The following is a 17,473-nucleotide window of genomic DNA, read 5'->3' on the forward strand; positions in this document are numbered from 1 at the left end:
AATATCTTAAATTTATATGTCTTATAATTGTTTTATGTGTTTTATGAAAACGAAGTTTAATGCATGAGTTTAGAAAACTAAAATGAGCAGAAATGCCCATGAAACTTATCAATTATCATTCGATAATAATCAAATCTTCACAAAGTTCTAAAATCTTTATTAGAATAGGCTAAATTTAACATCATCCCGCAGTGGAAAGAGCTCTGGAATAGGAGACAGATTAATATGTTACTTTAGGAACTGTAGTCTCTGCCTTAGCTAACATTTTTGTGGTTTTTCAGTTTCTCATGTGTAAAATGAAAGTAGAAATGGTCTTACAGGCTCTTCTAGTTATTACACATTTTATTTAAATGCTCTAAACACAAAATATCTGAATATTCTTATTTTAATGGTCCTTCAATTGAATGTCTAAAAAAACAAATTCACTTGACTGGCAGGAAAAGCTTGATTTAGGTGACATTGTTGGAAATGTGTCCTTTCTACCTCTGTAAGTACTGAGGTTTACACTGGTTCTATAGGTCATTAAGTGCTGGCATCTAATAAACTATCTGAAAATAAGAGCTGAATTATTTACTGTTGATTTTATAAATATAATAGAATGAGTCCTTGAAATATATAGACTAGGTGTATATATTTGTGTTGTTATTATTGAAAACATTTATACAACAAGATTCAGGGAGGGCTTCAAGGGTGATTCCTGTTAATCTAAAATAAATAATAACATGATCAGCCTCTGAAAATTAATATTAGTTAATTAGAAACCTGAAAAGATTCATGCACAATGGCCATTATATAGCACTTTATATTTAACTGGATATATAGAATTTCGATTGAGTTTGAAATTATAAAAAAGAAATCACTTTTGAAATTTAGAAATCAAAATCCAATGTTAGTAATTAGTTAAAATTATCAACAATTTCTTGAGCCAACATGCTTGGGGAATTGCAAGAAAATGCAAAGGAGAAGAAATATCCCTTACCAAAGTCAAAGATTAGGAAAATGAAAGACACAGTTATTTTATTTTTGTCTTTTTGTAATTTACACCTCTAACATTAGATTGAAAAGCTGCATTACAGACACCTGCTTCAGTAGAGTCATTGTTTCCATGGTGCCACTTTCCATCACCTATTTTTAATAGTTTACACAACAAGATCAAGGGTGTCCCAGCTGTTACTGCCACTGTTGCTTAGCAACCTTTAAATCAGAGTTCAAGAAGACAAAGAATCATGCTTGAAAAATTTCTCAACTGTCTGTTTTATGCACCCACGCCCCTGCTTTCTTCATTTTGCACCATTTTTCACTGTTTATACTCGGATGCTCTGGTTTTTTTCCATTAATTCAATATTCTATATATGAATTCACAACTCCGAGTGCTACTGGAATCAACTAAATATTTTTGTTGATTTTCAAAAGGTAATATATATGTTCAACTACAGGCTACCTCCAATAGAAAATAAACAGATTTAAAATATTTACTTTATTTTATTCATCAGAATGGGAGGTTGTTTCAGGTCTTCATTATCTGCTGCCAGACTATAACATTGCTGTGCCTGAGAGTCTGGTGAAATGACACACAGATCAATGGCCAGAGATTCACTGCCTGCAGAGAATTACAATACCCCCTTGTGCATTCTGAAATCTAAATATTATCATCCACAAAGGACAGAGAAGTCAAAAATCTGTAAGAAAACAGAGAAGTTAGCGAACTTTGAACTTGGAATACCTGACTGAGACAGGTTGATATCAATTAATAAAAACAGAAAATATTTTCTAATATTTCTGTAAACAATGAGAGTTTTTTTCCTCAATAGTAATTGTTCAGAAACCAATGGCCCATCTGTCTAATTAATAGATTAGTAAGCACAAATCAACAATGTGGAACGTACATAAAAATAGAAAAAAATCTTAATTTTGCATTTGATATCTGTAATAAGATAGGAACTCTCAAATCATAACCAAATATTCCTGAATAATCCATATAATAAGAGGAATATAATGATAGGATTCATGGCTGGAGATTTTATTAACCTGTATATGTGTGAGCAACTGTTTACCATACATCTCTCACAGAGTTGATCCAGGTGGGTTTTACCCCTTTGGTTAGAATGAACGTTCTGTTCCATAACATACATGCCCAATGACATGGTCCACACTGACCCAATTATTTAAACTCTTGGATTTTCCTTTGACCCTCTATTAAATAAACACAAACCTATCATATTATTATTTTTTAATTTTCAGGTTTGATCATTACATTATTATTTTCTGGCCCTTTTCTAAATTCTGCTAAATCCTTAGGTATCTGTTTGTTGTTTGCTGTTGTTTCCAAATCACTAAACCTCATTAAATTTATTTAAATTACATACTTTTTGTCCTTCTGATTTCTTTGTTATGTCTCACTTCTGTTATCTTTTGATTCTTATTTTCTCCTGCAAATATAAATACATGTAACTGTTTAATCATTAATTCACTATTTTTGGTCATTTCTTACTGAAAGCTAAGTATGCAATGACAACGGATTTGAGTTAGATACCTGAAAAAGTAACCAGTATGTTGTCCAGGATAAAAGAAGTGCTCCTATGGGTTATGGAGAATACAAAGTACAAGGTCCCTAATAACTGTGTAAATTGTAAAGTGTTTAAATTTACCTGAGACATATAAGATCCTTAGGTAGAAACTGAAGTTTAATCTGTGCTGATATGGCTATTAAGTACTGATGCAGGATTTTTCTCAGCTCCTTCACTGGACTCGTGGCAAGGTTGCCCCGTTCACTTGGTCCACTGTGCTCAGCCCCTTGTGGGAGAGAGTACATGAGCAAGTGAGTGTGGGATCCAGCAAACATAGAAGCAAGTTCTGTGTAGGGCCCACAGTCAGACTAGGCATGTTGCCTTAAGGGGAATGCAGTGGCACCCAGGTGAGGATGCCAATGACCCCAAAGAGACTGGAGAGGTTGTTACAGTGCTCATTTACTTTCCCTGTCCACAGTCCAACAGACGGCAGTATGTTAGCAGCTCTGTTGGCCCCTTGTCTCATCCCATGGGGCAGCTGCCCTCCACTGACAAAGGCAAAGGGTCAGTGTGATAGCCCTATCTGGGTACCCACACTCAGGGGCCCCAAGCTCTTGTCCTGTGTCCAAGAAGGGTAAGGTTATGTGGATCATTAAGCCACATGGATGAAGGCAGATAAATTTATTGAGTGATGAAAATGGCTCTCAGTGGAGAGGGGAGCTGGAGAAACAGGTGAAGGGCAGGTCATCTTCCCCAAAGTTAGGCTGTCTCCTCCTCTACTGACTGAGTCTTGGGTCTTTAAAGGTGCAGGATGAGAAATGCATGCTGATTGGTTTGTGAGTAGGCAAAAAAGGTTAAAGTGAAGGGAACACTGAAAGCTGGGCACAACAATATGGAAAGGGTAAGTCTATGTAAAATAGGTGGAAAGTAAGGATCAGTCAGAGGAAAGTGTGCCAAAAGGGAAGACAGGTTCTTAATCCTGTCTGAGGATTTAGCTTGCAGCTTGGCTTTCAGGCTTTAAACTGTCTTTGGCTTGGAGGTGGAGTTTCACCAGATACATGCCCCTATCTGCCTAGACATTTGTCTGCCTCCTGCCTCTATCATTTCCCCCTCTGAAGAAGTACATCTAACTTCCATTAGAATAGGGACAAAGACCAGTCTTAATGGCTTCCTGTTGACAGGGGTCACTGTTTTGGGAATACAGCAGTCAGATTTCCCTCAGAGGCCCATCTAAGGTTCCCTTGTAAAAGGGAGCCATTGTTTGAACCTCTGGTTTCATGACTGTTTGGAGTATGACTGCCTGAAGGCCAGAAGAGACAAACCAGGTTATTACAAGATATGTATCAAAACAAAACAAGGCAGGGGTAGGGACAGCTCAAAAATCCCGAGACTGCTTTTATGCACAGATAACTGGTGGCTATAGTTAAGCCTACTAAGATTTGGGTGCATAGGACTTGGCTTTGGTTAGCTCCCTTTGTCTTATTTTCCCAAAGAAACCTCTGGGTGATGGGCATCCTGTTTACTTCAATTACCTGGCAAGATTTGCAGAATAATGGCTCAGAACTAGAATATTGATCCAGATTTTTACATTACCTATCCCTTTTGTTTTTCTCCTGAGCTGCAGCTGTAGATCACTGGTTGGTTCACAGGAATAAGCATCATTAGTGTAAAATGTAGGCAAAAACTTAAAAACAAGTAATGAGACTAGAATTTAATGACAAGCATATAAGTTTTGAAACATAATTTTCTCTCTCCAATCCTCAGTTTTGCTAAAAACAAATCATTATAGGAATGTGTTGTTTGTAAAATAAACCTTAGTCTTATGCTTGACCTGATTATTCACATAAAGTGTGGCAAGAATAACTATCTTTCACATAGACTTTTTAAATTGGCTTTGATGGAACTCTGTTCCACAAGGAATCTCAGATAAAGCTGAGCCCACAAGGGCTTGTACCCTCAAATAAATATGAGTTGGGTAAATTCCTCTCTTCTTGAGGTTTCAAGATAACAAGTGGCTCCTGGGCCTGTTAGAAAGTGACATTCTTTACTTACCACAGGCTTGCAACCCTATGCCAAAACTGTGAAGACAAGGTGTGAGGCCAGTTTTCCCCAGGGGTTTTTATTGACTCTGCAAGTCAAGCTTGATTCCTTAAAGGAAAGCACACCTTTCCAGTCAGAGCCTTGGTAAAACTACCAGTTTCTCCAATTGTGTCCTGCTGCAGAGGAAAATAGATTTTTATTGCACTGATGCAAATAACTATATTGCCATAAGTTAAGAATACTCATAAATAGTTTTGAAATTCTGGAGAAGCCAGGCCAAGAGAAACAAATATGCTCCAAATTTTGTTCACAGGAAAATAACTTAATTGTTAAAAACTCTTGATAGTTCAAAAGAAAACTTTCCTTGACTCTGAAAAACAAAACAAGAATCAGCAAGATTTTAAGAAAAAGTTAAAAAAGATTATTTCAGTTTTATATTAGTTCAGTCCATTCCATTAACTCTTGTTCGGGTTGATATTCATGAACATTTTAGCTCTTCATGAGTATTATATGTTTTTCCTCTGTTCCATCATCACAATCTCCAAAGTTATTAGAAACTTGCATTTGAGAGCACCAATCAAAGTCCTATAGCTGATTATAAACTGTCTTTTGAAAAGGATGAAAACAAGACAACAATTGTCTGTGAGTGACATAATGTCTATGGGTGGTGACAATCAAAAACATGATTGACATAGAAATTTGATTATTTCTGTGGTTTACAATAACTTAACACAAGAACCTAAATTATGATTGATACTATATACTAAGACATTAGAATTTTAGAAATTTCATACAATTTTGGAACATACATTAATCTTCTATTATATAACCTAATGAATATTAAACTTTATTTTTATTTTGGCAATCCCATGTAACTAAACATATCAAATAATCCTGTTTTCCTCTCTTTTGGATGCTCCAAGGGACCTCTGTAGAATTCAAAAGTTAGGGGTCAGAGAAGACAATTTTTGAAGATGAATTTTTATTTTGGGAAGGCTACCAAACAGGTTAAAATTTTAAAACACTTGATATTATGAAATAGAAGTCTGCATTACCATAAGTCATTTATTTTAGCCAAAATGTTGACTCAAAAATTTTAAAACAAGGCAAAACTTTTATTCATTAGGAAGAAAGACTTGATTCCAAACAATCTGTCTTTAAAATTACATGAAAATCCTGTTCAAGAGAGAGAAGGCCAAATTTTACTCTTGCATGAGTCTACTATTAATGTCAACCCCATTTTTTAAATGAGACTTTATAGATAATTTTATCCTATCTTAATCAGTTTGACCATGAGGTGAGAGTCTTATAAACCTTTGATAATCCTTTACAAATTTTTGTTAATATGTTCACACACAGAATTTCTTTTACAACATTAATTTTTGCAAAGTTTTCTCAACTTATTTAAACATTTAGCTTTATCTTATCTAATTTAAAACAATCCTCTAACCCTCTAAACTAGACAAAAATTTACATTCCCATGCCTTTTTATAATCTTTATCTAAAAACACATTTTACTTCTCTCACACAACTTGCATGTAGATCTATTTTCAGTAGTCTCAATTACATGTTATAATGGTAATTCTGAGCAATTTTAAATTTTAATGTAAAATCTGATAAGTTATTTCAATTATATACTAGGTGCAGATAAAGTCTGACTCTTTCCAACATAGTTTGGGGTGTGGTTAATTCTATATTTCCCTAAGCCTTACCAAATTGCGAAGCGGGTAAATTGACCAGTTCTGAAAAACTAAAGAAGCAGTTTACAACCTTAAAACATTTAGCAAACCTAGTATCTGACCTGCATAATTTAGATCGCATATGTACATTTCGAAGACATTTGTATCTTACCAGTAATCTTTAGAACTGTTTTTTTGTTTGTTTGTTTGTTTTGACATGGAGTCTCGCTCTGTCGCCCAGGCTGAAGTGCAGTGGCTCAATCTCAGCTCACTGCAAGCTCCGCCTCCCAGGTTCACGCCATTCTCCTGCCTCAGCTTCCAAGTAGCTGGGACTACATCTGCCCACCACCACGCCTGACTAATTTTTTGTATTTTTAGTAGAGACAGGGTTTCACCTTGTTAGCCAGGATGGTCTCTATCTCCTAACCTCGTGATCCGCTCGCCTCGGCCTCCCAAAGTAGAACCATTTTTATTTCTCAAAGATTAAATCACATGAAATAAAAGGCAGTATAGCTCTTATTTTTCCTTCAAAAAAATTTGATCTAAGTGCTTATTTTTCTCTAAGCCAATTAATTAGAGCTCTTTTTTATATACACATCACACACATAACACATATATGACTACAAAGACAGACATAAGAAGATCCAGTAGTTGAAATATTTTTCATTTGCCAATCTCCTAATTGGATTATGGACCTCAGGGTGGAGCCTTTCAAAAAGGAGGGCTAGGAAAACATGCAGTTTCTAGGGCCTAATAAACAGGCATAGCTGGAAGACAAAAACAGATTTTGAGAGGGGTCTATCTGCTTTTAATTCCTAGGGTTCCATGAGGTAAAAAGAGGGGTTTTTTCCCCTCCAAAATGGGGTTCATCGCACCTTCTCTGTTTTTTCCAAGGAATCCTATTCTCTTAGAAGTTATCTTAGGGCCTATTGGGTGTGCACTAAAAGTGAAAAGACAAAATGGAGAAAAATAATTCAGTTGACTATGAAAAAAACCTTTGTCCAAAAAAACAAGGTCCACGAATAAAAAAATATAAAGGTCTTTTAACTATATTAAATACTTATGACTTTGATATTCACTTTTACTTAAGGTGACTTTTAACCATAGTGCTCTTTAAGAAAATTCTTTTAAATCCCTTGTTACCTGACTTTAACCATGCCAAGTAGCCCATATTTCTGGCTTTAGAAATTTACCAAATGCAGCCTCACAGGTGAAACCAGCAAGCCTCAGCTAAGGTTATGACTTAACCACAAGTGTATGAGGTATTTTCAAAGAGGTGATAAGCAGTTTTTAGAAAATCTAGAATCTTTATAGGTAGCTCAGAGAAAGGAAGATTTAAGAAAGGAAACTAGAAGTTCATAGAGGGGAAGAGAATCAGCAAATAGTAAAAGTCACACAGATATTAACCAGAAAGTACTCATTCCCTGGCCGGAATTGAACCCAGGCCGCTATTTTAAAATGGCAGAGACCAAAAGAAACTACCGTTATGTGGTTGCAAGATCAGGCTCTCAAGGACGTAAAACAAGATGGAGCCCTCATCCAGATTTTTCAGAACTGTACAGTGACCCTTACCATTCCTTTTTATAGGTTTGCACAGGGAGAGAGAGGCCAGAAGTCCGATTAGTAAAAAACTTTTACTGTTTTGCTGCTATATCAGGCCTCTGCATTCCCTTCCCCCAAGCTCAATTTTAAGCCAAGCAATTTAAGGTTTGTGAAATTAACTTTTCCCAGTTTGGAGGATGCATCTGAGGAGAGTGTCCTGGTATAGGGACACAATTACTCATCCACAAAGAGAGGACAGAGGAAAAGTCTTTTTTTTTTTTCCCAAAGGAGTCCCAGTGATTCAGAAGTATTGACTGAAGATGATTGGTTATCCATTTGGAAAGAGAGGAAAAGTGGTCTCTCAGTTCCTTTCTCTTCCAAATGAATACATTGGGTATGTGAGGGAGAGAAAGAAATGGCATCCCCCTTCCTTCTTCCATCCTTAAATCCTTGGGTCCCAGTGACATCAGCAGGGTGCTGCCCATGAGTGCCAATGCAGCTTTCATCCACATTAACAGGGAGGCCTAAAGGGTGGAAATGATTGGCACTCACCCACACGCTGCCTGTCCCCACTGCTGTCAGTAAACTCTGAGTTCCCCAGACCTCGTTTATGGCATGGATACTAGTATAACATCTACCCATGAAATGTGTGTGTTGGGAGGCTAATGGGCAGGAATTAGTCATGCTCACCTGCACTGTGCCCCTTCACTTCTGTGGTTGCCTGCCTTTGGATCCCTCAGATCTAGTTTTCCTCTCTAGGGCTTCAACCCAAAGCTTGCAATTGAGTTTTGGAAAAAAGTTGTCTCAGGGGAGTGCATGGATTTCTTTAAATTAAGTCCCAGGTGGCCCTTGCCAAATTTGCAGCCAGCAGACAGGATGGTCACTCCTCCATTGCTTCCCTATCGTAAGCATAGTTCTAAGGTAGAAAAAACAATTCCCCTCGCCTAGGAGAGCTCCCTGCATTTGCAGGGTCATGTGAACCCCTGACAAGGTGGATAAAAGGAAAAAAGAAAAGCTTAAGTGTAGGGGGAGGGGCAGGTGCCTGAGGGAAAAAGCCTCTTGATCTATGCAAATGGGTTCCTTCAACAGGGGAAATATTCTTAATCACTGTATCCCCCTTGCCTCTAACAGCAGATGGGAATCACATTGCTCTGAATTGCATATTTGGTGGCTAAGTCAAATGCTTATTCCACCTAGTAATATCTCTGCAGTTTGCAGCAACACCCTTAACATTATAAAAGAAGAGATAGGAGCCATTTCAAAGCATAAAAGAAGGAATGAAAAATACCACAGAAAAGTCTGGGGGTCTTGGCCAATGCTCTGAAGGGAGTTTGGGGACAGAGCCAGTCTAGGGGCCTTCCAGCAACCCTGAGGAGTGGCCTTGGCCAGATGTCTTCAGTTGCCCCAGGACTTTATTCTGGTTCAACACAGTGGCTAGACCTCTGTGAAGAGAAACAAAAAAACATTTCTTTCATCTGAAAGAGAGGTGGCAGGGTCACATCCTGTCCTCTCTAGCTGTGCCATTTGCTCTTAACTGGCCACTCAGAGGTTTGGTGCTTCATCTCCCTTCAGAGGGAAGTTTGAGCACAAGAAGTCTTGGAAAAAAGTGAAGAGTCAGATCCATATTCACTCACCCTTCTGAGTCCTGGATGAGCCCACAGATGATGCAGGATTTTTCTTGGCCCCTTCACCAGACTTGCAGCAGGGGTGTCCCATTTTTTTGGTCCATTGCACTCAGCCCCTTGCAGAAAGGAGCACGTAAGCAAGCAAATGCAGGACCCGGACAGCCACTCCAGGCACCAACACAGGAACAATCGCCATGTGGGGCCCATGCTCAGACAAGGGATGCCACCATGAAGGGAATGTGGTGAAACCCAGGTGAAGGTGCCCATGACCCCAGTGAGACTGGAGGGGGTGTTACAGTGCTCATTTAGTTCTGCCATCTGCAGTCCAACATACAGCAGTGTGTTAGCAGCTCAGTTGGCCCCTTGCCTTCTTAAGAAGGGTGGTTGCCCTCCACCAGTGAGGGCAAAGGGCCAGTGTGACAGCCTTTTCTGGGTACTTACACTTGGTGGATCATGAGCTCTTGTCCAGCATCCAAGAAGAATGAGATCACATGAATGATTGAAGGATGGTGAAGGCAGAGAATTTTACTGAGCAATGAAAATGGCTCTCAGTGGAGAGGGCAGCTGGAGATGGGAGCTGGAGGCAGGCAGGAAGTCTTCCCCAAAGTCTGGCCATCTCCTCCTCTACCAGCTGAGTCTGGGGTCTCTATAGGCACAGGATAGGGAATGTGTGTTAATTGTTTTGTGAGTATGCATAAAGTTAAAGTGAAGACACCCCTCAAATGTGGGCACAACAGGGTAGAAAACCAATTAGGAAAAGGTAAGTATATGTAAAATGGGTGAATGGTGGGGATCAATCAGAGGAAAGCACCTGAAACAGAAAGACAATTTCTCAATCCACTCTGAGGATTTAACTTGTAGCTTGGCTCTCAGTCTTTAAACTGTCTTTGGCTTGATTGGAGGTGGGGTTTCACTGGGTACCAGCCCCTATCTGCTTAGGCATTTGGCTGACTCTTGTTGTTACCAGTACCCTTGCTAAATAGTTATTATGATACAATTTAACACATTCTCCAATTTCTACCTCACTATTATACCTCTGGATACATCGCTCTACCATCTTTTGGTCCTTGATCTGAAAATTATTTCCATTCTTCACTGCTTCATCCATCTTGTTTCTTCCATACTTTCCTTTTAGGTTGGAAACATGCTGCATTAATTTGCTGGGACTGCCATGAAAAAGTACCAGAAGCTGGATGGCTTAAACAACATAAATTTATTTCCTCTCAGTTCAGAAGTCAAAGGCCAAGGTGTCAGCAGGGCTTCTGAGGCCTTCTCACCTTGAATTGTAGATGGCTCTCTTCTTTGTTTTCATACAGTCGTCCCTTTTATCATGTCTTGTGTCCTAATCTCTCTTCTTAAAAGGGCATAAGTAAAATTGAATTAGGGCCTACCCTAATGACCTCCTTTAATCTTTATTTCCTCCTTAAAGAGGAAATATAGTCACATTCTAAGGAACTGGAGGGTAGGACTTCAACATAAGAACTTTAGCGGGAGAAAATTCAACCTATAATACTTATCCATATATCATCCTAAATAAAAACTCTCCATAAAACTTCCCTCCACTCATCTCCAGCAAAGTGAATTCACTGTTCTTTTTTTTCTGAAGGGAGTTGGTAAAATAGTATTCTTTCTGCATCTCTCCATCTGCAGCTTCTATTTAGTTCTCAGTTCACTGGCTTTTACATTCTATGCTGAGAAAATTGATTCAAATATTCCCTAATGATGTTTTCGTTTTTACATATCTTAGTATTAAATGCTACATAGATTATTTTACTGTAGGTCCTAGATTATAAATCTGCTGGCTGTTTTCCCTATAATTATGTACAATGGTGTTTATTTTCTGTAGAGTTCTGCTGTATGTCTCAAGTCTTTTAAGTCTTGCTTTTCAATGTCTTTTTCCCCCATGGTTCAAATTATTACATAATGTGATAAGTGGTATTTATCACAATTCCTAACACTATTTTGTTCATAAACTCACAATTTAATTGCAGTCTCTATGCCAAAATTTCTGTCATAATCTGCAGTAAATTGTATTTGTTGTTTTGCTTGTTTGGGGGTTGTTTGTTCCTATGTGTTTTGGATTTGTTTGTTTTTCTGTTTAGTTTTAATAGATTCCAGAATTTTCTGAGTAATCTATTCATCTATGGCTATAAAAAAGGAAAATTTTCTGATTAAATGGGGCAAAATAAAATGAAATGGTGGGCTGACAGAATACATAAATATTTATTAAATGCCATACACTATCAAGAAATATTCCAAGTGCTAGATATTGAGCAGTGACCAGAGTAGACAAGGTCTCAGTTTTCATGTAATATAATCATAATCTACTAGAGAGAGGGAGACAAATACAGAAAAAAATACAAGTAAATATCTATTATGACAGGTGGAGATAAGAGCTATTAAGAAAAATTAAAAAGCATCAGAAGTATGCGGACTGATGTTGCAGGCCTTATATAAAACAAACAATGCAGAGAAATCAACACGAGAAAGGAATGAGTCATGCAAATATTTGGAGGAATAGCACTGCAAGAAGTGAAAACAAAGAGTATTGCTAATATTGGACTATCAAGGAATAGGAAAACATCATCAGAATGGTTGAAGCACAATGTAGAGTAAAGTAGTGGGTGAGTGCTAAGACATCAGGTCTGAGCAGTCAGTCAAGGTTATATGGGGATTCTATGCCTTTGTAATGACTTTGACTTCCATTTTCTTGTGATGTGAGTGTTTTGAGCAGTGGAATGATGTGATATGAGATATTTTTAAATGATTACTGTAATATTACTTCTGACCATGATGAAATAGCTTTCACCAGACCAATGTTCCCAGCAATGACAACAAAGAAACCTGGATAAAAATGAAAAAAAAAAAAAAAAAAAAAACTAAATATATAAAAGAACTGATGGAACTCACAGAATTTGATGGGTCAAAATTCAAGATAAGGGATTTATAGAGCAGTGAGCTGATATTTTACATCTGCTTCTTCTACAAGAATATTTGTTGATTCTTGAGCAAATCTGTTGCTAAGGCCGATGCCAAAGCCATAGAACCAGAAGAATTATTGGGCATCTTACATGACTGAATGGGCAGTATTGAAGTAAGAGCTGCCAACAAAGCCAGGACCTGGAGATAAACTAAGATCTCAAGAAGATAGAGGAAAGGAGAAGTTAGCCTGGTCCCTGTACTTTGCAGGTTTTTTCACTTGAGCTCAGAAAGGCTGAAGGTAAATGATAGTACAAGTACAAATATAACAGAAGTTATATTAATATCAAACACATTATCCTTGAACGAAGAAGTGATGTAGAAGAACAATTCACTGGTTAATCCACCAGGTAGATTAAACAATTCTAAATTTATATATAAGAACATAGCTTCCAAATGGTTAGATAGACAAATTCATAATCACATTGCAAAACATTATTACACACCTCTCAATGAGTGAAGAAACACACATATAAGATTAAAAATCATGATATTTATATTAAATAAGTTTTTTTGAGATAGAATCTCACTCTGTCACGCAGGCTGGAATGCAGTGGCACCATCTAGGCTCACCACAACCTCCACCTCCCGGGTTCAAGCAATTCTCTACCTCATCCTTCCAAGTAGCTGGATTACAGGTGCCTGCCACCATGCCCAGCTAATTTTTGTATTTTTAGTAGAGATGGGGTTTCACCATCTTGGCCATGCTGGTCTTCAACTCTTGACATCGTGATCCACCTGCCTCGGCCTCCCAAAGTCCTGGGATTGCAGGCGTAAGCCACCATGCCTGGCCTTAAATAATTTTTTTAAAAAGCATAGACCTATAGCAATGTTGATCAAAAAAATAATAAAAACACAAGTTACAAATAACTGACATGAAAAAGAAAACACCATTAAAGATCCAACAGACACAAAAAGATTATAGAAGTTCTGAACATGTTTATGTAAAATTATAAAATTTAATTGATCAGATATCTAGAAAAACACAATTTTATATAATTAACAGAAGAGATACATAAAATCTGAAGTGACATTATGTGTTAAAGAAATTGTATCTTTCAGCCCTCTCAGAATGTAATCTAAAAAAACACTTATTTTTGCTGGAGAATGCTTCCATATTTAAAGATGAAGTGACGGTAATCTTAAATAAACTTCTGAGCTTAATTAGAACAGAAGAAAGGATTTCCCAAGTCAGTAGTTGAAACTGAATACGTTTGTTGGTCAAATGTCATAAAATATATTATTAAAAACGAGGAAGGCACAGACCAATCTTCTTATAAATGCAAAAATCCTAAACAAATAGCAAATCAAACCCAGCCACTTATAAAAATGAAAATACCAAGTCGCATGTATTCCAGGAATATAAATTTTATTTAAAATATTCTAATTTAATCAATATAACCTCCCATTCAAAAGTAAACTTTAAAAATCCCATTCTCCTCTTAATAGCTGCACTTAAAAAGGATTTTGTAAAATTCAACACAAATTCAGTTTAAAACTCTTAGTAATCAGATAATAGAAGGTACTTTAAAAATACTGCAATCAGACATGACTACAGAAAACATATTTCAAACATCATACATAATAATAAACACTTTAAGCATTTTCCTTGAGGTGAAAAATGCAAGAGGATACTTTCTATGACCATTGCCCAGTAACAATGTACTGAAAGTTCTTTTCAGTACAATAGGGCAATTAAAATAAATGAGATATATGAGTTATAAAGGAAGAAGTAATACCAATTTTCACACAGATATGGTTGTAAATATAGAAATTCCTAGGGGTTAACAAATATTAGAATAAGTAAGTGAATTTAGCAGGTTGTTGGATAATTTACATGTTATTGATATAGCGTAAATGAATACAAGGCAAATAAAATTTAAAAATGAATCAATTTATAAAGGTCTTATCAATTATTTAATACCTAGCAATAAATTTAATGAAGATGAATCAATATCTGGATATCTACACTAAAACTGCAAAATATTATTGAGCTAAATTACATAACCTAAAGCAAAGAAGGAGTAAAATGTCCATGGGATTGAAGATTTAATGGTATTAAAATTTCACTCTTCTTAAATCATTGTAAGCCCAACCAAAATTCAATCATATGCAAAGAAATTGATATTAATCCCTACTCTCAACCCTTACAGAAAAAAACAATTCTAAATAAATGGTAGATCCATATGTAAAAAGTTAAAACAGTAAAGATACTAAACAAACATAAGTGAATCTTATTTTGACTTTGGAGTAAGCAAATTTGTTAATCAAGACACAAATATCGATAATAATGAGAAAAAATACAATTTTGGCTATACCTACTCCTTTAGCATGTGACAAGAGCAGCCATATACAAAGAGAAAATGTTTCCTATATATAATTCTGATAAAGGACTCACATCCAGATTTTTTTTTTAAACCCTGCAGAATAATGGGCAATCCTATAGAAATTGGGCCAAAGTCTGGAACAAGCTCTTAAAATAAAGAGAGGTACTATATGACCAATGATGTGTAAAGATGTCTAATTTCAATAGTGATGAGGGAAATGCACATTAAATGACAACTCGGTACTACTAATCACTGTTAATAGCAAAATTTTAAAAGACAAAGTACCAAGTTTAGGCCAGGACATGCCTCAAGTGAGAAGCTCATACATTGCTAATAGACATGTGGCTATGTACACCACTCGAGAAATATTTTGGGCCTTATTCACTAAAGCTAATTTTAAGCATACTTAGCAATTCTACTTCAAGATATATACTTAGGATAAAAACATATATGTTTATCAAAGATGTGTAAAAATGTTCACCCTAGCACTATTCCTAAGAGTTCTAACCTGGGAAAAGTCAAATATACACCAATAAAGAAACTGTTATACAAACGTGGTGTATTGATATATTGGAATACTGTATTGCAATGAGAATGTTAAATTTTTAAAAAACTTTTGGAGGAAATTTAGGGGAAGAAAATAGAGTTTGATTTTGGACATGGTAACATTAATAAATTCACTAGATATCTAAGTAAACATTACGTGTCTTTAGCGAGATTAAGTGTTTCAGGCTGTACTTCAGGAGAAATATTGATAATTAAGTTTTAAATTTGGAAGTCAACACTTTTTGTATGGTGTTAGTCATAAGACTAGACAAAATTAGCTAAAGAATAAGTATAGAAAGAGAGATGGCTTAGGATCCAGCTTGGGGCATTCCTAAAATCACATTCAATAAGATTAGACGAGATAAAGGCAAAGAAGCATTAGAAAATATGGTGAATCAAGAAAGAGTGATGTCCTAAAGGCCTGTGAGTGAAGTATTTCAAGAAGAGGTGAGCACTCAAATGTTTTAAATATATCACTTAAGTAGTTTTTAGGATGAGGACTGAGAATTAAGTTTCAAATCTGGAAATGCAGATAGGTCTCTTGGTGATTTTAACAAAAATCATCTCTGTTGAGTAGTGGGAATAAAACCTGAGTTGGAGAGAGTGCAAGAGAGAATGAGAGAAAAGGAAGTAAAGAAACTGAGTAAGACAACCCTTTTGTTTATTAGCTATAAACAGAAGCTAAGGGGCCGGGGTGCAGTGGCTCATTCCTATAATCCCAGCACTTTGGGAGGCCGAGGCAGGTGGATTACCTGAGGAGTTCGAGACCAGCCTGGCAAACCTGGTGAAACTCCAACTCTACTAAAAATACAAAAATTAGCTGTGCATGGTGGCGGGCGCCTGTAATCCCAGCTACTCGGGAGGCTGAGGCAGGAGAATCACTTGAGCCCTGGAGGCAGAGGTTGTGGTGAGCCGAGATCGTGCCATTGTACTCCAGCCTGGGTGACAGAGTGAGACTCCATCTAAAAAACAAAACAAAACAAACAAAACAAAACAAAAACAGAAGCTAAGAATCAGGGTTGATCTGCGCATATATGGCATAGTTTATTTTTATTTTTTAAGATTGGAAATGTTTACGGGTGATAGAAATGTTCCAGTACACAGGAGCCCTCAGTGATGAAGGAGTGCAGAGGAGAATTACAGGAGCAACATCCTTAATTAGATGAGAGGAAATTGAGAATACATAAGGAAGGTTTTATCTCAGGTAGCATCAGAGACATTTTAACTTATACGACAGGAAGGAAGCTAAATCCATCCATATAGGGATATGGATTCAGGAATTGGATATAGACCAGGTAGACTATGTAGAAGACAAAATTAATTCAACATCCTTATTTGATACTGTTGTTACCCTTCCTTACCTATATTACATGGAGAATTTCAAATTGTTAAATATGTAACATAGTTTAGATCAATCTTTATTACTGTTTATTTTAGCTACATAGATAATTATCCAGTAAGTAGATATGTAGAAAAAATACTTCAACTTATTTGAAAATTATATTTACCCTTATTAGGCAAAATCTCATAAGGTTTTAGATGGCATCCATTGTCAAATTTCTACAATTGCTTATATATGTAATTCTCCTTCCCAAGTCAGTTACGTATCTTATTTTTATGGCCTTGTTGGAATTGGATTTTGTTAACCCAGCAAAGATAGCATCAGTAAGAGATGTGGCCTTGGATGTGGGACTTCAGAGAAAATTTTTTATCTCCTCCCACCATAGAATTACATCTTCTGTGAGCAAAGAAGATAAAAAAGAAACTTTATCAGATGGAGAATAGAGATCATTGGAGGTGAGGGACCTAGTAAATCGTTTGCATATTCCAAGATATCCCCAGTGTGGTTGGCTGATAGTGTATTTTAATCAACACCCTAACCTTTGGGTAACAAATCTTGTTAAGTCATGTACTATGTCAACCTCTGCAATATTTCAGTAACATTTAGAATCAATATGTGGTATTTTATTCCTATTACTACTATTGCAAGAAGAAATTAGTATTTTTTAACCCTGTTTGGAGTCCAACTGAAGTTTTATTTTATTATTTGATGCAATAACTTCAAAATTTGAGTTTGTTTTTCTTTATGTTGTATATTTCAATGTATCCAACACAAACATTTCTCTCCATGGTTCTGTCATTGCTTATATCTTATAAAAATCAGTGTATGGGAGTAGCTACCTTTTCCATAGAGACTTTGCCAATGGGAATATAGTCTTAGGGGATTT

General features: G+C 36.5%; 2 annotated features.

Moving 5' to 3' along the window:
• Window positions 3,278–3,988: an enhancer, noted in NCBI's record as "NANOG-H3K27ac hESC enhancer chr6:141787949-141788659 (GRCh37/hg19 assembly coordinates)". NCBI's record gives its function as "activates a minimal SCP1, AML or CMV promoter by ChIP-STARR-seq in primed H9 embryonic stem cells {active_cell/tissue: H9 hESC(primed)}" and the evidence as "EXISTENCE:reporter gene assay evidence [ECO:0000049][PMID:30033119]".
• Window positions 7,941–8,540: an enhancer, noted in NCBI's record as "H3K27ac hESC enhancer chr6:141792612-141793211 (GRCh37/hg19 assembly coordinates)". NCBI's record gives its function as "activates a minimal SCP1, AML or CMV promoter by ChIP-STARR-seq in naive H9 embryonic stem cells {active_cell/tissue: H9 hESC(naive)}" and the evidence as "EXISTENCE:reporter gene assay evidence [ECO:0000049][PMID:30033119]".

This window comes from Homo sapiens, chromosome 6 (genome assembly GCF_000001405.40).
Source record: "Homo sapiens chromosome 6, GRCh38.p14 Primary Assembly".
In the NCBI taxonomy this organism is placed as follows: Eukaryota; Metazoa; Chordata; class Mammalia; order Primates; family Hominidae; genus Homo; species Homo sapiens.